Here is a 23636-nt window from a genome sequence, read left to right as displayed (position 1 = left end):
GCCTTGGCCTCCCAAAGTTCTGGGATTACAGGCGTGAGCCACTGTGCCCGGCCTTAAAATTATTTATGTTTTCACTCCTCTAGGTTGTGTGTATGTGCCCACCTTTCTGTTTTTAAACACGCCGCTTCTTGGCCTGGGGAGCCCTTTTCGTTTTTCTCGCTCCAGCTAGCCCTTGCCCCCTTGTCAGTTAGTGCTTGTTGAAAGAAGGAAGGACTTAACTATTCACATGACTCCATTTCCTGTGACCTCCTCAAGGAGGCCCCTCGAGAATACTCAGTTCTGACCCACCATCCCATCCAGCCTAGCTGAAGTGTCTCTCTACTTGGCATAGTACTTGGGAAAAATTTATTGAAGAAGGAATGTTACTGCTTTTAGTTAAGAGATTCAGGTTGGCTAAGGGAGAAAGCATAGCTCTGGAGAAGGAGCATGTACTCTGTCTCCTTCCTGCAGGCTTCTCCGCAGTTTCCAGAGGGAAGCAGTTTCCAGCTATCAGGAACAAGATGGAACTGACAACTTCTATTTTTGATTGTATGATAGGGTTAAAACTGGAAATGCTTCATTGAAACAAAGAAGAGGTGTAGCCCCTTTGGCATGACTGAATCGGTAATGGCATTTGACTTTTTGTCAGTCCTCTGACATTCTGGCTCTAGTGGCCCTGGTGGCTTTTTTGTAAGCATCTTTTTTGTTTGCTACTAGCTGTGTATCCTTGGGCAAGTTGCTTGACCTCTCTGTGCCTCAGGTGCCTCATCTATAAAATGGGAATAATAAGAGCACCTCATAGGGTCATTGTGAATTAATATCTATAAGGGCCTAGTGTACCACCCGGTACCTGATGGTCTTAATACTTGCTATTATTAGAACACTCATGCATTACTTAATGGTGGGGATACGTTATGAGAAATGCATAATAAGATTTTGTCATTGTGTGGTCATTCCCAGAATGTCCCTACACACACCCAGATGGTGTAGCCTACTACACACCTGGGCTAGATGGTGTGCTTGTGACTCAGGCTTTTGCTCTTAGGCTACAAAACTGTACAGCATGTGATTGTATGGAATCCCATAGGGAATTGTAACATGATGGTGAGTGTGTGTGTCTTTATACAAAAACATACAGTAAAAATATAGTACATTATTGTTATCTCGTGGGACCGCTGTCATATTTGTGGTCCATTGTTTGTTTGTGTTTTTGAGACAAGGTCTCACTCTGTTGCCCAGGCTGGACTACAGTGGCATGATCTTGCCTCACTGTAGCCTCGGCTTCCTGGGCTCAAGTGATCCTCCCACCTCAGCCTCCCAAGTAGCGTAGATTACAGGCACATGCCACCACTGCCGGCAAATTTTTGTAATTTTTATAGAGATGGGGTTTCGCCATTTCTCCCAGGCTGGTGTTGAACTCCTGGACTCAAGCGATCTGCCTGCCCCAGCCTCCCGGGTGGTTCATTGTTGAGTGAAACATTATTAAGCGGTGCATGACTATTGTAAAAACCATTTTATCTGTGATGGTGTAACAAGTGCAAAACAATATCTTTATTTCTTGGAAACGTTGGTGATGGTACTTCTCAGTGGTCTTTGCCCACCTGTCCCATGGTCTTGTCAAACCAGCACACCCACTGCCTTATTCCTCACCTGAGTCAGAATTCCCAGGAGAAGTTGGGCGGCTGGGCCCAGTGTGCTAGGGTCAAGAGGAACAGCCGTTGCCACACACTGGCGAGTTCAGAGCTGTGCATAGCCCGGGGGGCGGCTGCTGGGGGAACAGCAGCAGGATTTTCGTTGGGATGTGCTTGTGGCCAAGTTTCTGTTGAGAATGGCAGACATGCTTTGAAAACTGGTAATTTTTCCACTAATAATTAAAATACTCTGTGTCCTGCAGTAACTATTTATTGAATGTATTTTTTTATGATAGGCATTATGTAACCAGAGTTCGTTTGGGAGTTTACATTGAATTTTTTAATTTCTATTTTTTTATTTTTTTATTTTTTGAGACACAGTCTCACTCTGTTGCCCAGGCTGGAGTGCAGTGGCGCGATCTTGGCTCACTGCAACCTCCGCCTCCCAGGTTGAAGCAATTCTCCTGCCTTGGCCTCTGGAGTAGTTGGGATTACAGGTGCCAGCTACCATGCTCCGCTAATTTTTGTATTTTTGGTAGAGATGGGGTTTTGCCATGTTGGCCAGGCTGGTCTTGAACTCCTGACCTCAGGTGATTCACCTCCCCCCCCCACCCCCGGCCTCCCAAATTGCTGGGATTACAGGTGTGAGCCAATGTGCCTGGTCTTATATTGAATTTTAAAATTATCTACTGAGAAATTATTGTTTGTTATGTTAAGATGACTATAAGGTGTCTATTACATGTGAAGTAGTTATATTTTCACCATAAGAACTATAACACTCACTGCTTTGCCATTATAACCAATGCTACAATTGGTATGGATAATAATTGAAAACCATACCCTGTATTATTTATTCATAAATTCACATGAACCTAGTTGAAAGAAAACACAATCTAGATACAGGAGATCCATTGTTAGAGAAAAGACTAGAGATGACTTTTTTTTTAATTCAGCGTAAAGACCTCTTCTTTGGATAGCAAGTTTGTGCAGGTGGGTTAATTTTTTTATTTTTTAAACCAAAGGATGATGTAAAAATGTGGCCAAGGAGCATTTGGTCTAGATCAAGTGTGTGAGCAGCAGGGGTCAGTGTTGAGCCTCTGTGTTTTGCTCCTGGGCTCCCTGGGAGGCTGGACACAGCTCGTCTCATCTCCACACAGAGCTTTGCTGCCTCTACAGTTCTTCCACCTTCATTCGCCAGGTTCTGTCTTTGGGTAGAGAGATGGAGTCTTAATGGCATTTTATCTGTGTAGCTCACAGTGAAAGAAATCTCACGTATGTTACAGTCAACCAGAGCATCTTTGAGGTTGGCATGTTTCACAGCTGCCTTGCATGTGGCCTCTGAATAGAGAAGTGCTGATCAGAGCATGTTTCCAATCAAAGGAAATGGAATTTGCAGTGTCCCCATTGAGCAGATTCCATCAGCGTGTGATGCTTAATGCTGTAAAACAGTATTTCAGGTTTGAGGTGCTAGCAAAGCCCAAAAGGCCAATAATAGGATTAATAGTACCTACTTTGTTAATGTCCTACGGCTGCAAAACAAAACACCGCAGGCTGGGTGATTTTGACAACAGAAATTTATTTCCCACGGTCCTGGAGGCTGGAAGTTCAAGATCATAGTGTCAGCAGGGCTGGCTGCTCCTGAGGCCTCTCTCCTGGGCTTGCAGGTGGCCGTCTTCTTGCTGTGCTCACATGATCTTCCCTCTGCATCCCTGCTGTCCCTCAGTCTGTTCAGTTTCCTCTTCTCATGAGGACAATAGTCAGATTGGGATAGGGTCCACCTTAAGGACCTCATTTTAACCTGATCGCCTCTTTAAAGGCCCCATCTCCAAATATAGTCACATGTTGAGGTATTTGGGATTGGGGCTTCAGCATATTAGTTTTGGGAAGACATAGTTCATTCCATAACATCTAGATTAGAGGTTCTCAAATGATACAGACCTGAGTGCCTACTCTGTGGTAAGTGCTTCTCACACTCATAACATCCCTCTTTGGTTCACCTACCGTCAGCATTTTATAGATGAGAAAGTAGAGAGCTATGGAGGTTCTATAAAGTCCCCAGTGTCACTCAGGCAGTGGTGGAAACGGAGTTCACTTTGTTTTTTTTTTTTTTTTTTTTTCTTAAATGGAGTTTCACTCTTGTTGCCCAGGCTAGAGTGCAGTGGCATGATCACGGTCACTGCAGCCTCCGCCTCCCAGGTTCCAGCGATTCTCCTGCCTTAGGCTTCCAAGTAGCTGGGATTACAGGCACCTGCCACAACGCCTGGCGAATTTTTTTAATTTTAGTAGAGATGGGGATGGGGTTTTGCCATGTTGACCAGGCTGGTCTTGAAATCCTGGCCTCAGGTGATCCACCTGCCTTCGCCACTCAAAGTGTTGGGATTACAGGTGTGAGCCACTGCGCCCGGTTGGAGTTCACTCTTGAGTGTGTCTGAAAGGTTTGCTGTGTGATACTGTGCTGTGTTGTATCCTAGCCCCGAAGGGCTCACCAGGGCCAGGCTTGGATGCCAAGGAGAGGTGACTCCTAGGGCCTGCCTTACCGTAAGGCATTCATTTTCAGAATTCTTTTTTTTTTTTTTTTTTGAGACAGAGTCTTGCTGTGTCACCCAGGCTGGAGTGCAGTGGCGTGATCTCGGCTCGCTGCAAGCTCTGCCTCCCAGGTTCACGCCATTCTCCTGCCTCAGCCTCCCCAGTGGCTGGGACTACAGGCACCCGCCACCAAGCCCGGCTAATTTTTTGTATTTTTCGTAGAGACGGGATTTCACCGTGTTAGCCAGGATGGTCTCAGTCTCCTGACATCATGATCCGCCTGCCTCAGCCTCCCAAAGTGCTAGGATTACAGGTGTGAGCCACCGTACCTCGTCTCAGAATTCTTTAAAACACTGTGTTAAGCAAATAAAATAGTGTTATTGGGCTAGCCCTGCCAGCTTGGAAACTTGGGTTTACAGGATGGTTGCAGAGCTTTAACTGTTGAAGAAAACATAAGAAGCAACTTAATCTCCATCAATATTAGCAGAACCCTCCCCACTTTCTTTATGGTTTCCTGAAAAACTATTAATCTCAATAGAATGGAATGATCAGATGTGAGATCTTTGTATACCGTATGTTAATTCATTTTCTTTTGTCTTCAAACTTAGAACATTAGCTTAAAACACTACAAAGTATGGGGCTGGAAAAGATTGTGTTGGGGAAATATTGGTTCATGTATCAAATAGAATAAACCTGAAGTACATTAAATGGTAGTTTTAGTTATAGTATCCATACCTCATAAAGATCCTTCTTATTTCATCCGTTTCTTTGCATATCCATTAATTATTCCTTTGGACTCTGTGTAACTTATAATTTTAAGGGTGAGGCCAAATGAAAGGCACACATCAGAACAAGCAATTACTTGCAAGGAGGTTTCGCCTCTTAGTTTTTCAGGACACAGTGCAGACCGGAGAACGGTAATGTGGTTTGCAATCTCAGTGTTTGAATGGTGGTCTATGTAACTTGGTGTTCTTAACAGCTGTAAGTGAGGCTGGGCGCAGTGGCTCATGCCTGCTGTAATCCCAGCCTGACTCATGCCTGCTGTAATCCCAGCGCTTCCGGAGGCCAACGTGGGTGGGTCACCTGAGTGAGGTCAGGAGTTTGAGACCACCCTGGCCAACATGGTGAAACCCCCTCTCTACTAACAATACAAGAATTAGCTGGGTGTGGTGGTACATGCCTGTAATCCCAGCTACTTGGGAGGCTGAGGCAGGAGAATCACTTGAACCTGGGAGGTAGAGGCTCCAGTGGGCTAAGATCACGCCATTGTACTCCAGCCTGGGCGACAAGAGTGAGACTCTTTCAAAATAAATAAATAATGAAACAGCTGTAAATGCTTAAGTCTTTAGGGCGTGTCAAAGATGCCTATGTAATTTATTATATGTTTGTATTCTACAACGTTGTGCACTCTTTGTTAGGAGGATGAAAATAATAGATAATATGATTGAAATACCATGCCATCTATGCATGGAGTGTATTAATATAATACACGCACACATTTACCACATACCAGGCATTGTGCTAAGCCCTCTGTATGGATTAATCTTTCAAACCTCACAATGTATTGTCATTATATAGTTAATAGGTAAGGAAACAGATTTAAGGAGCATCATTAACTTGCTCAAAGTCACCCAGGCAATAAGTGGTAGAGCCCAGATTTGAAGCCACACCTGCAGACGTCGGAAGCAGTGTTCTCAGCTTCTCCTGTTTTGCCTTACTGGTTTCTGACAGTCATATGCACATACCCTGTGGAGGAGATGAAGATAACGGCTAATTCAGCGAGCATGCTGAGTGCCTGTGGCCACCCGGTCATGTTCTAGAAGCCATGGTAGCTGTCCTGTCTGGGCTAATGATTCTGTAACAATTTAGGAATGCATTCAGGGACACTACCTATGTTTATCCCATTTGAACCAGGGAAACAGGAACCTTCATCTTCCCAAAATACTTACACATAGTTTTAAAAAAATCTATTCCAAAAAACCTTATTGAAGTATTCGTATCGATAAGTGCATAATGACAGTACAAGTTGACAGATTTTCAAAGCAAGAAACATTATCAGTAGGTTGGGAGCTGGTGCTCCTCCTAGTCACTCTCCCTTTAAGTCCTGAGACTGCCAGCCTCCTGAGCTTATACTGGTAGTTCCAATGGAAATACATAACAGAATGCAAGGCTTTTACTTAACTCCTCCTTCTAGTCCTCATCTTGACCTCCCTTCCACTCGGAAGCGTGCCTCTTACAGATATGGGTGATGATAGAATTGGAATATCTCACAGTCTCAGATTTGGTACCTGACACGCAATTAACAATACTAATATTACTAATGCCAGTATTGCTAAAAACAGTTGTCTTATGCATATGCTATCTTCATTCTCCCTCTTTAAAAAAAAAAAAGCTTTTTTTTTTTTTTTTTGAGACGGAGTCTCGCTCTGTCGGAGTGCAGTGGCGTGATCTCCGCTCACTGCAAGCTCCGCCTCCCGGGTTCACGCCATTCTCCTGCCTCAGCCTCCCGAGTAACTGGGATTACAGGCGCCCGCCACAACGCCTGGCTAACTTTTTTTTTTGTATTTTTAGTAGAGACAGGGTTTCACCGTGTTAGCCAGGATGGTCTCGATCTCCTCACGTCGTGATCCACCCTCCTCGGCCTCCCAAAATGTTCGGATTACAGGCGTGAGCCACCGCTCCCGGCCAAAAAAAGGCTATTTTTTGAAGAGCAGTTTTCGATTCACAGAGAGCTGGAGCAGGAAGTACAGATCCACGTCTCTCCTCCATCCCCCGTTCCTAGTTTCCCATATTAACATCTTGCATTGGTGTGTTACGTTTGCTATGATTGCTGGACCAATATTGATGCGTTATTATTATTATTATTATTTGAGATGGAGTCTCACTCTGTCACCCAGGCTGGATTGCAATGGTGTGATCTGGGCTCACTGCAGCCTCTGCCTCCCAGGTTCAAGGGATGCTCCTGCCTCAGCCTCAGCCTCCCGAGTAGCTGGGATTACAGGCAGGCGCCATCACACCCGGCAAATTTTTTTTTAATTTTTAGTAGAGATGGGTTTTCACCAAGTTAGCCAGGCTGTTGATGCATTATTATTAACTAAAGCTTATAGCTAACATCAGGGTTCACTGTATATAGTATAGTTTTATGGGTTTTGGCAAATTAATGTAATGTATTCACCGTTACAGTATCACATGGAACAGTTACACTGCTCTAAAAATCCTCTCTGCTTTACCTCTTCATCCCCTCTCCCTCATTATCTACCTCCAAAACCTCAGACAACCACTGAAATGTTACAGTTTGTCTCTATAATTTTACCCTTTCCAGAATGTCATATAGCTGGAATCGTAGGGTATATAGCCTCTACAGATTGGCTACTTTTGCTTAGCAACATGCATTTAAGATTCCGCCATGTCTTTTTGTGGTTCGATAGCTCATTTCTTTTTAGCAGTGAATAATACTCCATTGTCTGGATGTACCACAGTTTGGTTATCCATTCACCTATTGGATGATATTTTGGCAGCTTCCAACTTTGGACAATTATGAATAAAGCTGGTGTAAACATTGTTGTGCAGATTTTTGTATAGACAGAAGATTTCAGCACATCTGGGCGAATACCTAGGAATGTGATTACTGGATCATGTGATAAGATTATGTTTAGCTTTATAAGAGACTATTAAGCTGTCTTCTCGAGTGGCTGTACCATTTTGTTTTCTACCAATAAAGAATGAGGTTTCCTGTTGCTCCACATCCTCACCAGCATTTGGTGTTGTTGGTGTTTTGGATTTTAGCCATTTTAGTGGGTATGCAGTGGTATCTCATTGTTTCCATTTGCAATTCCTTAATGACATATGATGCCGAGCATCTTTTCATATGCTTATTTGCCATATGTTTATCTTCTTTGGTGAGATGTCCATTCAGATTTTTCACGTACTTTTTAATTGGGTTGGTGTTCCTGAGTTTTAAGTCTTTTTTTTATATTTTGGATACTAGTTCTTTATCAGATATGTGTGTTAACAAATACTTTCTCCTTGTTGGCGCTGGTCTTTCATTCCCTTAATGATATTTTTCACACAGCAGAAATTTTTAATTATAATGAAGTCTTATCAAGTTTTTCCTTCGTAAGTTGTGCCTTTGGTATTGTATCTAAGAAGTCATTGCCAAATCTCAGGTCAACTAGATTTTTCTCCTTTGTTATATCTAGAAATTTTTATAGCTTTGTGTTTTTCATTAGGTCTGTGATTCATTTGGAGTTCATTTTTGTGAACGATGTTAGGTCTTTGTCTAGATTGATTTTTGTGTGTGTGTTGATGTCCATCTGTTTCAGCACCGTTTGTTGAAAAGACTCCTTTTCTCACTGAATTGCCTTTGCACTTTTGCCAAAGATTAGCTGATTATATTTGTGTGGGTCTATTTCTGGGCTTTCTATTTTATTCCAGTGACCTACTTGTCTATTGTTTCACCAACTCCACACTGTCTTGTTACTATAACTGACATTAAGTTTTGAAGTTGGTCAGTGTCAGTGCTCCAACTGTATTTTCTTCAATATTGCATTGGCTGTTCTGCCTTTCCATGTAAATTTTAGGATCAGTTTGTTGATATCCATAAACTTGCTGGTATTTTGACTGGAATTGATATGTAGATCAACTTGGGAAGAACTGACATCATAACAGTGTTGAGTCTTCCTGTTCATGAACCTGAAGTATCTCATTGTTTATTTAGGTCTTTGATTTCTTCCATACTAGCTTTGAAGCTTTTCTCATATAGAGCTTGTACATATTTTGTTAGCTATATATCTAAATATTTCATTTGTTTGGTGTTAATGTAAATGGTGTGTTTTTAATGTAAAATTCTATTTTTTTATATAGAAAAGCAATTGCCTTTGTATATTACCTTGTATCCTGCAAACTTGCTGTAGTTATTAGTTTCAGTTCTTCTTTGTTGATTCTTTGGGATTTTCTACGTACACATCATATTATCTGTGGAGAAAGACAGTTTTAATTCATCCTTTCCAATCTGCATACATTTTGCTGCTTTTTCTTACCTTACTGCGTTAACAAGGACGTCCAATCTGATTTTGGCTAGAAGTGGTGAGAGGGGACATCCTTGCCTTGTTCCCAACTGTAGTAGGAAAGCAACTAGTTCCTTAACATTAAGTATCTTGTTAATTGCAGGTTTTTTGTAGATATTTTTTATTAAGTTGAGAAAGTTCTTCCTCTATTCCTAGTTTGCTAAGAGTTTTTATGGGTGTTGAATTTTTCCAGTGCTTTTTCTGCCTCTATGCATATAATCGTATGGATTTCCTTCTTTCACCTGTTTGAAGTGATGGATTGCTTTTGTTTTTGAATTTGAACCACCTTTGCATACCTGGAGTAAGTTCCACTTGGTCATTGTGTGTACTCTTAGTACATTTTTGAATTTATTTGCTAACGCTTTGTAGAGGATTTTTGTATCTATGTCCATGAGAGAGATTGGTCTGTAGTTTCTCCTTTTTGTAATGTCTTTGGCTTAATGAGTTAGAAATTGTTCTCTTTGCTTCTATTTTGTGAAAGGTATTGTAGAGAATTGGTATAATTTCTTCCTTAAACGTTTGGTAGAATTCATGAGTAAACCTATCTGGGCATAGTGCTTTCTCTTTTAGAAGGTTATTAATTTATGATTCAATTTCTTTAATAGACGTAGGCCCACTCAAATGATCTGTTTCTTCCTGTGTGAATTTTGGTAGATTATGTCTTTCCAGCAGTTGGTCCATTTTATCTAAGTTATAACATTTTTGGACATTGAGTTGTTTATAATGTTACTTTATTATCCCTTTAACATCCATGAAATCAGTAGTAATGGCCCTTCTTTCATTTCTGTTTGTAATTTGTTCGTTCTTTTTTTTTTTTTGGTTAGCCTCCCTACAGGATTACCAGTTTTATTGATCTTTTCCAAAAACCAGCTTTTGTACTCAGAGATTTTCTCTATTATTTCCCCTTTTAAGTATCACTGATTTCTGCCCTAATTTTTATTAATATTTTTCTGTTTACTTGTAGTTCAATTCATTCTCATTTTTCTTGTTTTCTAGGGTAGAAGTTTAGATTATTGATTTTATTAGGTTGGTGCAGAGGTAATTGCCGTTTTGCCATTACTTTTGCACCAACCTAATAGAACTGTCTTGTTTTGTAATACATGCATTTAATGCTATAAATTTCCTTTAGCATTGATTTTGCTGCAGTTCACAAATTCTGATAAGTAGTATTTTCGTTTTCATTTAATTAAAATATTTTTAAAAATTTTTTGACATTTCTTTGACATGTTATTTAGAAATATGTTGTTAATGTCCAGATGTTTTGGGATTTTTCAGCTATCTTTCGTTTGATTTCTAGTTTAATTCCAATGTGGACTGAGAGCATATATTGTATAATTTCTATTTTCTTAAGTTTAAGGGGTGTTTTATGGCCCAGAATGTGGTCTATGTCTATGAATGTTCTGTGCAAGCTTCAGAAGAATGTGCATTTTTCTGTTAGATGGAGTAGTCTATAGATGTCAATTATATCCAGCTGATAGATGGTGGTGTTGTGTTTTTAACTCTGTCCTTACTGATTTTCTGCCTGCTGGATCTGTCAATTACTGATAGAGTGGAGTCTTGACGTCTCCAAGTATAATAGCGGATTTGTTTCTTTCTCTTTGCATTTCTATAAGTTTTTGTCTAACATATTTTGACGCTGTTGTTAGATACATTCACATTAAGGATTGCTGTGTCTTTCTTGGAAAGTTTACCATTTAATCGTCATGTAATACCCTTTTTTATTTCTGATAATCTTCCTTGCTTTGAAGTCAGCTTTGTCTGAAATTAACATGACTACTGCAGCTTTTTTTGTTTAGCGTTTAGCGTCATATCTCTTTCTCCATCCCGTTACTTTTAATTTAGTTGTATCTATATTTTATATTTAAAGTGGATTTCTCATAGATAACATATAGTTAGATCCTGTTTTTTTTTTTAAAAAAAAGATCCACACTGATAGTCTTATAATTGATATGTTTGGTTATTAACATCTAATGTGATAATTGATATTACTTAGATTAATACCTACAAAATAAGTGTTTTCTATTCTTGCCCTTGTTCTTTTTTTTTTTGTCTTCTGCTCTTTTTCTGCTTTCCGTGGCTTTAATTGAGCATTTAATATGATTTCATTTTCTCTTCTCACAACATATTCCGTTTTCTCTTTTCTCAGCAAATGTACATTTAAAAATTTATTTTTTAGAAGGAGGATAAAGCAAGGAATAAAAACTTCTTAATGATAGCCCTAGAGTTTGCAATATACATTTACAATTAATCTTAACTCACTTTTAAATAACACTGTGCCACTTCAGAGCCAGTGCAGGTAACTTAAAATCAGACATTTCCAGTTCCTTCTTGTTGTTCTTTATAGAATCGGTATCATTCATTTCAGTTATCTGTAAACTATAATCAACCAACATGCCTGTTACGCCTTTTGTAATTATCCCATTGTTCTTAGATATTTTGTCTTACTTTTCTCCTACTCTTCTTTCTCTTTGCTTTTCAGTTTAGGAAGTTTCTGTTGACATGTCTTCAAGATCACTGATTCTTTCCTTGACTGTATCCATTCTACTAATGAGCCAGTCAGAGGCGCTCTTTATTTTTGTTACAGTGTTTGTGAACTCTAGCATTTCCTTTCAATTCTCTCAGGGATTTTGTCTCTGCTGACATTACCCATCTTTTCTTGCATGTTGTCTACTTTTTCCATTAGAGCTCTTAGCATATCAATCATATTAATTTTAAAGTCGCAGTCAGATAACTGTAAAATATCTGCCATATCCGAGTGTGCTTCTTTTGCTTGATTTCTCTCCTCAGCCTTTCTTCTTTTTAGAGTACCTTGTAATTTTGTTGTAAGCCAGACATGATGCATTGGGTAAAAGGAACTGAGGTAAATAGGCTTTTAGTGCGAGTTCTCACATTTTTGTAGCTTTGGGTGTCAGAGGGTAAAATTTTCTCTTGTGTCTTCCTTGTGTTTTCCTCCCCTTTTCTCTTAGATTTTCCCTGTTGAATCCTTAAATACTGTGTGAGCCTTGAACTTCTGCCGTAATTCCGTATTATTTTATAGGACCCCTTCTGATGAGAAGGCATCGGGAAAAGGGAAACGTTCTGTAATCCTGTGCTTAGATCTCTCTAGTGAGCCTGTGCCACTTGGCTGTGACCTTCACAGCTGTTTCTCAACTTCCCCGCATCCCCTCCCCGCCCCCGGCTACCAAATTGAGACAGGAAGGTGTGAGCGGGCTGGAGTTGGGTATTTCCATCAGTTCCTGTTGGTCAGGCTCTGGTAAATCCCAGGTAGCCTAGGCTCTGCTAAATCATTTCTCTGTTTGTTAAGGAGAGCAGAATGCTTTGGGCTTCTTTCACAGTGGTTGCTCTTCTCCCCTTCCATGAAGCACAGAGGGATTTTTTTTTCTAATTTTTTCACCCTTAGAACCTGGTAGGGCTCTTAGAGGTAAAACTCAGCAAAGTACAGGAGACCCCTTAAGACCGGGCCCCCAGGAACTTGTTGTTGTTTTTGTTGTTGTTGTTGTTGTTTTTAATCTCTCAAATTAGTTTACCACTCAGTCTCTGGCAATTCGGCAGTTACCCTTGAGGCATTCCTACCGGTTGCTGGCTCCAGCAGGTATTTCTGCTCCTACTATGCTGTGATTCTCTGTGTTTGCCTGTCTCTAGATTTCGGTATGGTGGTTTGCCCTGTGACCTGAGTTTTCTAATGAATCTATGGAAGAGTTGTTTGTTTTCTGTTTGCTCAGCTTTCTTCTTACTGTGAGTATGGTAGTGACAACGTCCAGAATCTCTATTTGCTAACCAGAAACCCGATACATCTCTAATCTGGTATTAATTTTGGAAATACGGCTCCCTGCTTTTTAGAATTTGAACTGTATCTAGATTTTCAGCACATATAGCCATTTCCTATGATACAGTCTCTCCTTTAGCCCTCACGTAGTCTTAGTTCTACAGGCACCCCTATCTTTTATGCGCATTAGGAGTCCTTAGGACAATGTATCTCTAGTTATTTTGATTGTCTGAAGCTTATACTCTGGAATATTCCTCAGAAAGGCATCAAGAGAATAATCCCAGAGTTTTTTCTGTGGATAGTACATAAAAATTTGTGTTCTTTTTACATGAAAGTCAATTTTACAGGTATAGAGACTCGACAGTTTCTTTTCTGGAGTGTTGTCGATGTGTTACTCTATTTCTTCTGGCATAAAGCATTGTTTGAAAGTCTGGTGATACAATTTTATTTCCTGTAATTTTACTGGAGTATGACTTGGTGTAGGGCGTAGGTCATTCTGGTCTGATTATTTCCCAGGTATGTAGTATGCTCTTTAAAGTTTGAAAATTGTATTAGTCTGTTTTCATACTGCTACAAAGAACGGCTCAAGATGGGTAATTTATGAAGGAAAGAGGTTTAATTGACTCACCATTCAGCATAGTTGGGGAGACCTCAGGAAACTTACAATCATGGCGGAAGGGAAAGCAAGGTGCCTTTTTCACAAGGCAGTAGGATGGAGAAGTGCTGAGCGAAGGGGGAAGAGCCCCTTATAAAACCATCAGATCTCATGAGAACTCACTATCGGGGGAACAGTATGGGGGAAACCACCCCCATGATTCAGTTATCTCCACCCGGTCTCTCCCTTGACATACGAAGATTATGAGGATTACAGTTCAAGATGAGATTTGGGTGGGAACACAGCCTAACCATATCAGAACTTTTAAATACCTTTTATTTCAAGAAAGTATTTTTATTGTGATTTTTAGTCTATGAGCTCTTTCCTTATGTTCTTTATGGTTTTCTGGGGTCTGTATGTTGATTTTTTTGCCCATCTTTAATATTTGTCACTTTTGCCCAGATCCCTGTTCTTGCTTCATTTCTTTGTTTTAAAAGAAATCCCTCATGCCTATAATCCCAGCACTTTGGGAGGCCGAGGCAGGCATATCAGGTGAGGTCAGGAGTTCGAGACCAGCCTGGCCAACATGGTAAAACCCCGTCGCTACTAAAAATACAAGAATTAGCCGGGCGTGGTGGTGGGCACCTATAATCCCAGCTACTCTGGAGGCTGAGGCAGGAGAATCCCTTGAACCCGAGAGGCGGAGGTTACAGTGAGCCGAGATTGCCCCGCTCCACTCCAGTCTGGGCAACAGAGAGAGATTCCATCTCAAAAAAAAAAAAAAAAAAAAAAAGAAGAAATCCCCACTTTAACTTCTGTTTCTTGTAAAGTATTACGTATTGTGTTTATTTGCTCTTATATGTCTTTGAATTTAGCTTTCATTTCTGAAATAATTTTTTTTGTTTCTAATTTTTTTCTTAAGTTTTGTCCCTTTATTGCTGAATTTTTGGAAATCAGATTTATGTTTCTGTTTTGTGTCATGTATCATTGTTGTAATGGCTTTTTACCTTGTTTTGAAATAGTCAATTATAGTTTTGCCCTGTGTTCTGGGCATCTTTTTGGTTAGTGAGTTTTCATGGTCAATGATGTTCTTCTACACTTTCTTTTTCCTTTTATTCCATAATAACGTTATGGGATTTGCTCCCAATATTTTTTATGTTGCTCATTTTTAAATGAAATTAATTTTCCTAAACTTTCAGAGGAAGGCTTAGTTCTAGATAGCTTTTCTAACTTTACAGAGCTCTGTCCTCTGGTTGATTTTATGTAGTTTTCAGAAATACAGTGGCTTGCTTTCAGATGACTTGGTTCAGTCCTTCTGCCCACTTTTATCTGGATCTTCTCTATCCTTGGTCTCTTTTTCTCTCTCTTTTTAAAAGCGTTTTATTTTTACTTACTGCTCCTTGTGGAGTAGGGCTACCCTATAGGCAGTGTGCCTCTATCATTGGTCTCTATTATTTCTGTCTTATCCAGCTTTGATTCTAGGCCCTGTCCTGCAAGGGAGCCCTAGGTGGTCAGTTTCCAGGTCACAGGGCCTAGACTTGTCCTAATCCATCAGACCCTACTGCAGGCCCTGCTGTTGGAATGGGCAAACCCTTCCTAATTTCAGCTGCTATTCTCACAGAGGTCTTCTGGGCTTTCTGGTGAATTTGTTTAGCTATTCGGGGGTTCTCAGTTGTCAAGTTTGTTAGTTGCCCCTTGGGTTCTCTCTGCTTTCGTCACATGCATGCTGATATCATGCCAATCTTTGGGTTACTGGTAGCTTGTCCTCATCTACTTGTATTTTGGAGTTTTTTGTGGGGACACTTTATAACCTAGTTTTGTTGTAAATTGTGTCCTTGAATTTTTTCTTGCTGCCTAGTTTCTCTATTTTGATGTAGGGTTTCAGGATTCCTAAAATCTGCCATGCTGCCTCCACGTTTCCTGCACCTACACTTTTTCCTCCTTGGTACAGTGGGAAAAATAAGCTTCTCCTCAAATGAAGGATAATGTGTATGTAGTATCTGATGCAGACCAGGTACTCAAAAAATGATCATTGTGATGAACAGTTTGACAATTTCATACTTGTTGAGCAGTGGCATAGTCTGTTTTGAAGCTGCCATTGTGGGAGCTCTGATAAGAGGGGGATTTAGGGGTGAAGAGTCTAATGGGCCTTTGGGGTGAGGAAAGAACAAGAGGGTGAGGGTTTGTGGGTGTCATTGATGGCAGATTTGTTTGCAGTGTTGAGAGAAAGGTGGAGGGAATGGACTGGAGCAGGACTGGGAGAAGAGACATCACACACAGTGAAGACGTAGCGAGGCCCTGGAGCAGATCAGAAGAAACACACCTAAGTTTGACTTAGGGGCTGATTGATGATCAATGTCAATCTAGGTGACTGGTTATAGGATTGGAGAAGGCAACACTTGGAGGCCAGGATAAGGGATGACATGTGGGGAGAGAATCAAAATCCAAGGTTAAAAATAATGGTTGAGCTGCCTACGAGACCAAATCATGTTTTGCCTTCGGGTAAGAGCAGGTGGCACACCATGGTCTTCTAATATTTAGTGACTGTTGAGGGACTTAGAACTCTTAGAGCTCCAAGAGTCATGTGGCTTTTGTACAGACAGCAGGTTTAGGATTCCAGCTCCTCCTGCTTGAAAAGAAGGTTTACTTTTCCCAGGGAAATGTGGGGCCAGGTTCAGGTGAGAAGTATGGGGGAAGGTTGAGGCGGACGCAGAGAGCTGCTGCTCAAGCGGAGAATGGAGAGTGATAGAGAAACGTCTGACATCAGCCCCTGGGAAGAGGGTGCCGGTGCCTCACCTGGGCGGCTTGTTTAGGGGTCCGGGGGGTTGAAGATACACCCAATTTTCTGAAATGCAAAGTGTGCACAGTTAATACTGCTCATGTCTTAACTTTGGCAAAAAAACAACCTGTGTACTTAAACTCCTTGTCTTTTGAACATCATAAAATGCCATGCAGTTGGCAAATTGTGGATGCAACCGGTGGCATATTTGTTTAGCCAGTAAGACAGTATCAGAATTAATCAGCTTCTTGTTTGGAAACAGCTTTTAGGGGGTTCTCTCTGCTTACTAGTTCTGAAATCACAGACAAGTTACATAACCTCTTGTGTCTCATTTTTCTCATCTAAAATTGAGAGGGAAGAAGAGACTACTATTGCCTTGTAGGGTTATCGTGAGAAATAGGTGAATTGATAAAGTTCTTAGAACTGTGCCAGTCATGTTTTAAGCATTTGGTAAGCATTAGCTATTGTTGTTTGTTATTACCTTATTTTTTTTTAATTTTTTTTTTTTTTTTTTTTTGAGATGGAGTCTCACTCTGTCGCCCAGGCTTGGGTGCAGTGGCGCGATCTCGGCTCACTGCAACCACTGCTTCCTGGGTTCAAGCAATTCTCCTGCCTCAGCCTCCCCAGTAGCTGGGATTACAGGCACCCACCATCACACTTGGCTAATTTTTGTATTTTTAGTAGAGATGGGGCTTCACCATGTTGGCCAGGCTGGTCTCGAACTCCTGACCTCAGGTGATCTGCCTGCCCCGGCCTCCCGAAGTGCTGGAAATACAGGCATGAGCCACCACGCCGGGACTGTTCTAACATTTTTGATTCTAGTGAACACATATGTAAAGTGCTCAGCACAACACAGTGATGTAGTGGTCATTACATAAATAATCTTTTTTCTCTCTTTTATTTGTTTCATTTTAAAGATGAGGAATTTGTGCTCCAGAACAATCCAGTGATTTTTCTCAGGATCTCATGGGATGACAGGGCAGGTCTCACCTGCTAGGAACTGTGCGTTCTTTGCTTTGCTTTTGTGTCTTATTTTATTCTAGATAGGAAGGAATTTTCCATTCAGGTTTATATTATTTTTATTATGGTTGGAATTGCTGTCATAAAGGACATTCCATCCAGGTGTCAATAATAATTTTCCAGTTTGCAAAGAAGAAGCTCAAGATTTAGAATCTGGAAACCTTGATTGTACTCTGTTCTGATTCTGCTGGCCCGTGGAATCTTAGAATACCTTTACTTCTCTGGCCCACTGTTTTCTTATCTGTAAATTGAGGAGCTTAAGTTGTTTGATTTCTAGAGTTCCTTTGGCTCCAACATTCTATAACCATGATTTCTAAAACTGCATAAGTTTTGTGTTACACAAATAAAATAGTTTATGCTAGAAAAATTAGTCAATACAAACAAGCTAAAAAGAAAAAAGAAGAGACAGAGGAGGAAGGTAGTTAGAAATAAAACAAAATGGACTCTGGTCCTTGAAGGTTTTATTAACCCTAAAAAAATTTTCAGGCACTTCCCTTTTAATGGGAGTTTCAAAGCACCTTAGTACTTTTATGGTACAAGTCTGCCTGTCAGAGTTCTCCAGAGAAACAGAATCCATAGGCAATATATATATGGAGATTTATTATGGAAATTGGCCCAGGTGATTATGGAGGCTAAGAAGTCACATGATGTGCTGTCTGCAAGCTGGAGAACCTGGACAGTTGGTAATGTAATTTAGTGCAAGGCCAAAGGCTGGAGAGTCATAGGAGGGGTGCGTGTCAGTGATGCAAGTCCCAGAATCTGAAGGCCCAGGAACCAGGAACTCTGATGTCTGAGGGCAGGAGAAGATGGATCTTCATGAATTCTCCCTTCCTCTGCCTTCTTATTCTATTGAGGCGCTCAATGAATTGGTTATTGCTCACCTGCATTGGCAAGGGTAGGTCTTCTTTACTCAGTCCCCTGATTCAAATGCTAATCTCTTCTGGAAACACCCTCACAGACCCTGGAAAAGAACATTTTACCAGCTATCTGGGTATCTCGTAGCCCAGTCAAGTTGACAAATAACATTCACCATCACTTTCTGTATTGTATCCTAGTGTTTTATTTCATCTCCTTATTGCAGAGGAAGCTCATTGAGGGCAGCAGCTGCATCTCACTCATATTCTATCCCTGTCCCACCAAAGAAGTACAGTGGCTTGCAGAGTAGCTGTAGCTCACCAAGTTTTGTTAATACCATCCAGTGACTGCATATCTTAGGTGGCTTACTATATTTTTCTCTTTAATTCTCTCAGGCATCTTCAGAAATAGTTTTTCTGTGTATTTTTTCCTGGAGCAAAAACTGTGTGTTTGGACAAGAATGATGTGGGCTCCATAATTTAAATACCAGTGTCTTGGGTCTGTCTGTCTTCTTTCTCCTTAATGTCCTGATGGACTCATAGACTCCAATTAGTGACCAGCTCATGGGGGGTTCTCAAGATAGGTGAATTTGCTGCTATTATGTGTAGAAACAGGGGCCATCTTTTTTTTTCAGTTGTCATTTATGTTCAATTGTTTTGTCATTGATTGAGAGAGGACTTAATTGTGATTGATAGACCCTTTATCTATAAATAGTAGAATTCAGTCAAGTATTCAAAATTTCAAGTGTTTTGAAAACTTACTACTGAAGAGTTTCAGTAACCCTGCACACTAATTAGTTGTGAAATAAGGAAAAGCTTTCATCCCACCGTGATATTTTAAAAGTTTTACCTTATGAACAAAATTCAGAAGAAAGCTTTTTATGATTCTGGTGTGTTGGTGAATATGATATTTTTATTATTTATTGATATCAAATATTTTATTGTCTGTCTTCATTTTAATACATTGTCAGAACCTGCATACGTAAGTAGATCAGAATCTGTGTCCTACTACCAAGGGTGAAATAACTTCAGCCATGCGACATGGGCAGGCGTTTTAAGCAGCATCACGGAGATGCAGAGCTCAAGTTGGTCAGCATTGCTGCCCGGTGCTGACATCTGGCCAGCTTCCACATTCCTGTGGAGCCTCTGATGAGGGTTATTTAAAGCTGTGGCTGTTTCTAGTCCACCAGGGAACCAAAATGGAAAAGCCATTTACACCGTGCTGTATGTTAAGATCCAGTTAATTCTTTGTGGTCTAGAACTCTGGGATGATTTGCATTAACGTGGCTGTCTCTGTGCACAACTGCCGAGGGTTCTGTCTACAGTGCAACTTGTAGAATCTTGCAGAATTGGAATAGTGCAGCCTGCAGTGCTAAAACAAGGCAGACTCCTTTGAATATTCTAGAAGGTATGGTGGTTCTTCCAGCATGTTACATTTGAAACCACAAGAGGTGTGAAAAAGCCCTGGCCGGGCGCAGTGGCTCATACCTGTAATCCCAGCGCTTTGGGAGGCTGAGGCGGGTGGATCACGAGGTCGGGAGTTCGAGACCAGCTTGGCCGACGTAATGAAACCCCGTCTCTATTAAAAATACAAAAATTAGCCAGTTGTGGTGGTGCGTGCCTGTAGTCTCAGCTACTCGGGAGGCCGAGGCAGGAGAATCATTTGAACTCGGGAGGTGGAGGTTGTAGTGAGCCGAGACTGTGCCACTGCACTCCAGCCTGCGACAGTGAGACTCTGTTTCAAAACAAACAAAAAAGTGATGAATCCTTTGCAGATAGCAAAGGCCTTTTTAGTGGCTTTCATTCGGAATGCACAGTCTGTGAGCTGAACTGGTGATTGCAGTCTAGTTTTTATGACCAACGTTACAGAACCTTTCATTTAGAGTCCAAGATGGCCAATGCTCACCCATGAGAAGATCTTAGAAACTTCCAAGTTCCATATCATTTTGTGTGTTTTCAGGCCTCATTTCCCGTGTCTCATCCTGGCTTTGTTCGCCCTCATCTGTCTGGATGTAAGTGCCATTCTGTGACACTAGAACTTTTTCCCATCTCTGAAGTGCTACTAAAGGAATCATTTGCTTCCTAATTTGCCAGATTGAAAACTATGGAGACAAGTTCCAGAGTTCCACATCTTTGTGATAAGTTGGGCCACCTTGGGAACGAGTCTGTAATGTCATCTTACAGGGCTGTGGATTTTATCCTGCTTATTTTGCCTTCCTTATATTGTCTACTTTATCCTGAAGAAGAGGAAAAAGCGGGACCTATTTCAAATACTGATACCTGCTTCCATGAGTTATCTAGACATAATGATTCTTTCTCTAGGAGTTTTAGTTTTTCGATTTTTCTTTTTTTTTTTTTTTTGTTTTTTTGAGACGGAGTCTCGCTCTGTCGCCCAGGCTGGAGTGCAGTGGTGTGATGTCGGTCACTGCAACCTCCGCCTCCTGGTTTCAAGCAATTCTTCTGCCTCAGCCTCCCAAGTAGCTGGGACTACAGGTATGCACCACCATGCCCGACTAATTTTTTGTACTTCGGTAGAGATGGGATTTCACTATGTCCTGAAATCCTGAACTCCTGAGCTCAGGCAGTCTGCCCACCTCGGCCTCCGAAAGTGCTGGGATTACAGGCATGAGCCACCACACCTGCCCAGTTTTTTTATTTTTTATTTTTATTTTTTTTGACAGGTGGCTCACGCCTGTAATCACAGCACTTTGGGAGGCCAAGTCAGGTGAATCACCTGAGGTCAGGAGTTCGAGACCAGCCTGGCCAACATGGTGAAACCCTGTCTCTACTAAACATAGAAAAATTAGCTGGGTATGGTGGTGCATGCTTGTAACCCCAGCTACTCAGGAGGCTGTGGCACGAGAATTGCTTGAAACTGGGAGGTGGAGGTTACAGTGAGCCAAGATCATGCCACTGCACTCCAGCTAGTTCTTTGATTTTTCTGAATTTACTCCATTAAAATACTGACCACTCCTTCCATGTTATATCCTGTATTAGTATGTTCTCACACTGCTATAAAGAACTACTTGAGGCTGGGTAGTTTCTGAAGAAAAGAGGTTTAATTGGCTCACAGTTCCACAGGCTGTACCTGGAAGCATGGCTGGGAGGCTTCAGAAAACTTATAATCATGGTGGAAGGCGAAGGGGAAGAAATCACGTCTTCGTGATGGGAGCAGGAGAAAGAGAGAACAAATAGGGAGGTGCTAACACACTTTCAAACAACCAGATCTGGTGAGAACTCACTCACCATCATGAGAAAAGCAAGGGGGAATCCACCCCCATGATCCAGTCACTTCCCACCAGGTCCCTCCCTCAACACAAACGATTACAATTCAACATGAAATTTAGGAGGGGACACAGAGCCAGACCCTATCATATGCCTTCCCTGTTTTTCATCTCTGTGCTCAGATAAGCCTGGGATTGACTCCATCACCCGTGAGTTGTGTAGGTCCCCTGGGTGCATGGTGTACTCTCTACCCTAAAGCATTTCTCAGTTTGTCATCCTACGATAAGTAACATCTCTTTCTGAACTGCCATTGTCTTTCTAAATCCACCTCTCAGTGTCCATGATTCTTATACCTAGCGTGTTAGGTGGTTGGTCCATATTCTCTGTTCCGTAAGTTGTGTGGTCGTGTAGCTTATCCTCCAAACCAGGACATTTTTTAGAGGGACAGCTGGTATAATCCAAGACCATTCCAGGCTAATCAGGATGTGTGGTCGATGCTGCCTCTAAGAGAATCTCCAAGGTAGAGACGGCCGGCGCTCTGAGTGTGATCAGTAAATATCCAGTCAATAAGTGCCTGCGTGAGTCCTTGATTGTCTTTCTTTTGAAATTATTGAACCAACTAGTTCCTTTTGAGCATTTTCCTGCTGATTCCCTTCCTGGCTCAAGAATAAAAAAATCATAAATCACAGGGACAGTGCCAGCAACCTCACCCTGCCCCCACACCCCACAAATGCTTCCCTCCCATTGATTTTGCTTCCCTCTGTTCATTTTGGCCAGATCCAACGTTCACCTAAATAACATTCCTAAAGAGGCTAGAGTAGAATGATAACCAAGGCACTGTAGTATTTAACTGTGCACGTCAACACGTTTTCTTAGTTACTGAGTTGAATTTTGAAATGTATTCTACTCTGAAAATGCCCGGGCAAAGCATAGTTGAATATTGCTTTAGGAATTTTAATAACAGTTTGTTCTCACTGCTTTGGGGGAGCTCATTCTGAATGGTGTCTGGTTAGCAGGAGCATTAGAAGATGTTATCAACACAGCAGAAAATCTACCAGGTGTGATTACGGTCAGCAAGGCACCAGTAGCGGGTCAGTGGTACAGCCTGCTCCCATTTTCCCGACACGTTCAACGGGGGCAGCTTTTGTACTTTTAAATAACCCATTCTATTTCGGTAGACCTTTTCTCCCTTCTTTTCTAACAGCTCAGTTTCCATACAAGACTCACAGTGAACTCACCATTCCCGAGTGGAAAGGAGTGACTGGTTGTATAAATATGTCTGTCTCCACTTGGTCTTTGCCTGACCGGGCTTTGTGGGGGTCTGTTGATTCTTTCAGCTTCACTGCCTTCCCTGCAGACCCGACCTGGAGTCCTTTGTTGCCCTAAATATTTTTCTCAAAGATCTTTTATTAACTTTTTCTTTTCTGCTCTTGTTTTTCTTCCTCTTACCTACTTTACCATGTGGTCCTGTGGCAAGAGTGAGAAAGAAAAATACATTCTAGTGGTGTGATCGGCTGAAGCAACGACTGAATTTCTCTTCTCCATTAAAGAAAAAGAAAAGAAAACACAACTTTTAAACTTTTTTAGTTTCTCTCCTGCTAAGTGTTTGTTGAAAGGACACAATGAAATGACTGAAAAGAACCAGTTTTCCCTCATTAAATCTGTCCTCGTGAACCTGAGCTTGTGAACTTTGCACTTTTTTGAGAAGAGCAACATTTTTTTTTCCTTGCTAATTAGTTGCTTGTGCTATTTTCGGAGAAATTAAGGGAAGATGGGAGTACCTTCAGTTTTCTTTTGACTTCAGTGACTCTCAGATGGATGGTCTGCAGGTGTGAGACACTGCTAATTGTCTGCCAGTTGCAGCTCACCCATCTTTCTTGGTAATAAAACCCCTAATTTTTAGCTGGCACGTGGTCACCCAGAAGCCAGCCTTGTAGCTAGGCATCACTGTGTTACTGAATTTTGATTAATTGCTTGTAAGTGGAAATACCTTGTACAACTTCTTGGAAGTGTCCTGAAGGAGGAAGCCTTCTTTATCCTTTCCTTTTTCCTGAGAGGAATGTAGATGTGATGGCTGAGCTCAGGCTGTCGTCTTGGATCTTGAGGTGTGTTTTAGTCAGCTCTGGCCGTTATAACAAAAATACTATAGACTGGGTTACTTAAACAACAGAAGTTTTTTATTCGTGGTTTTGAAG

General features: G+C 41.2%; 1 protein-coding gene across 3 annotated transcripts in view, besides 2 other annotated features; it reads left to right on the top strand.

Moving 5' to 3' along the window:
- The window catches only part of RSU1 (Ras suppressor protein 1), a 226814-nt gene that overhangs the window by 5212 nt on the left and 197966 nt on the right, over positions 1–23636 (top strand). The gene's annotated exons all lie outside the window — the stretch shown is intronic.
- Positions 16257–16316: an enhancer, noted in NCBI's record as "active region_3103". NCBI's record gives its function as "activates an Ori minimal core promoter by ATAC-STARR-seq in GM12878 lymphoblastoid cells {active_cell/tissue: GM12878}" and the evidence as "EXISTENCE:reporter gene assay evidence [ECO:0000049][PMID:35858748]".
- Positions 16527–16746: an enhancer, noted in NCBI's record as "active region_3102". NCBI's record gives its function as "activates an Ori minimal core promoter by ATAC-STARR-seq in GM12878 lymphoblastoid cells {active_cell/tissue: GM12878}" and the evidence as "EXISTENCE:reporter gene assay evidence [ECO:0000049][PMID:35858748]".

This window comes from Homo sapiens, chromosome 10 (genome assembly GCF_000001405.40).
Source record: "Homo sapiens chromosome 10, GRCh38.p14 Primary Assembly".
In the NCBI taxonomy this organism is placed as follows: Eukaryota; Metazoa; Chordata; class Mammalia; order Primates; family Hominidae; genus Homo; species Homo sapiens.
This window is presented reverse-complemented; position numbering and strand designations above follow the sequence as displayed.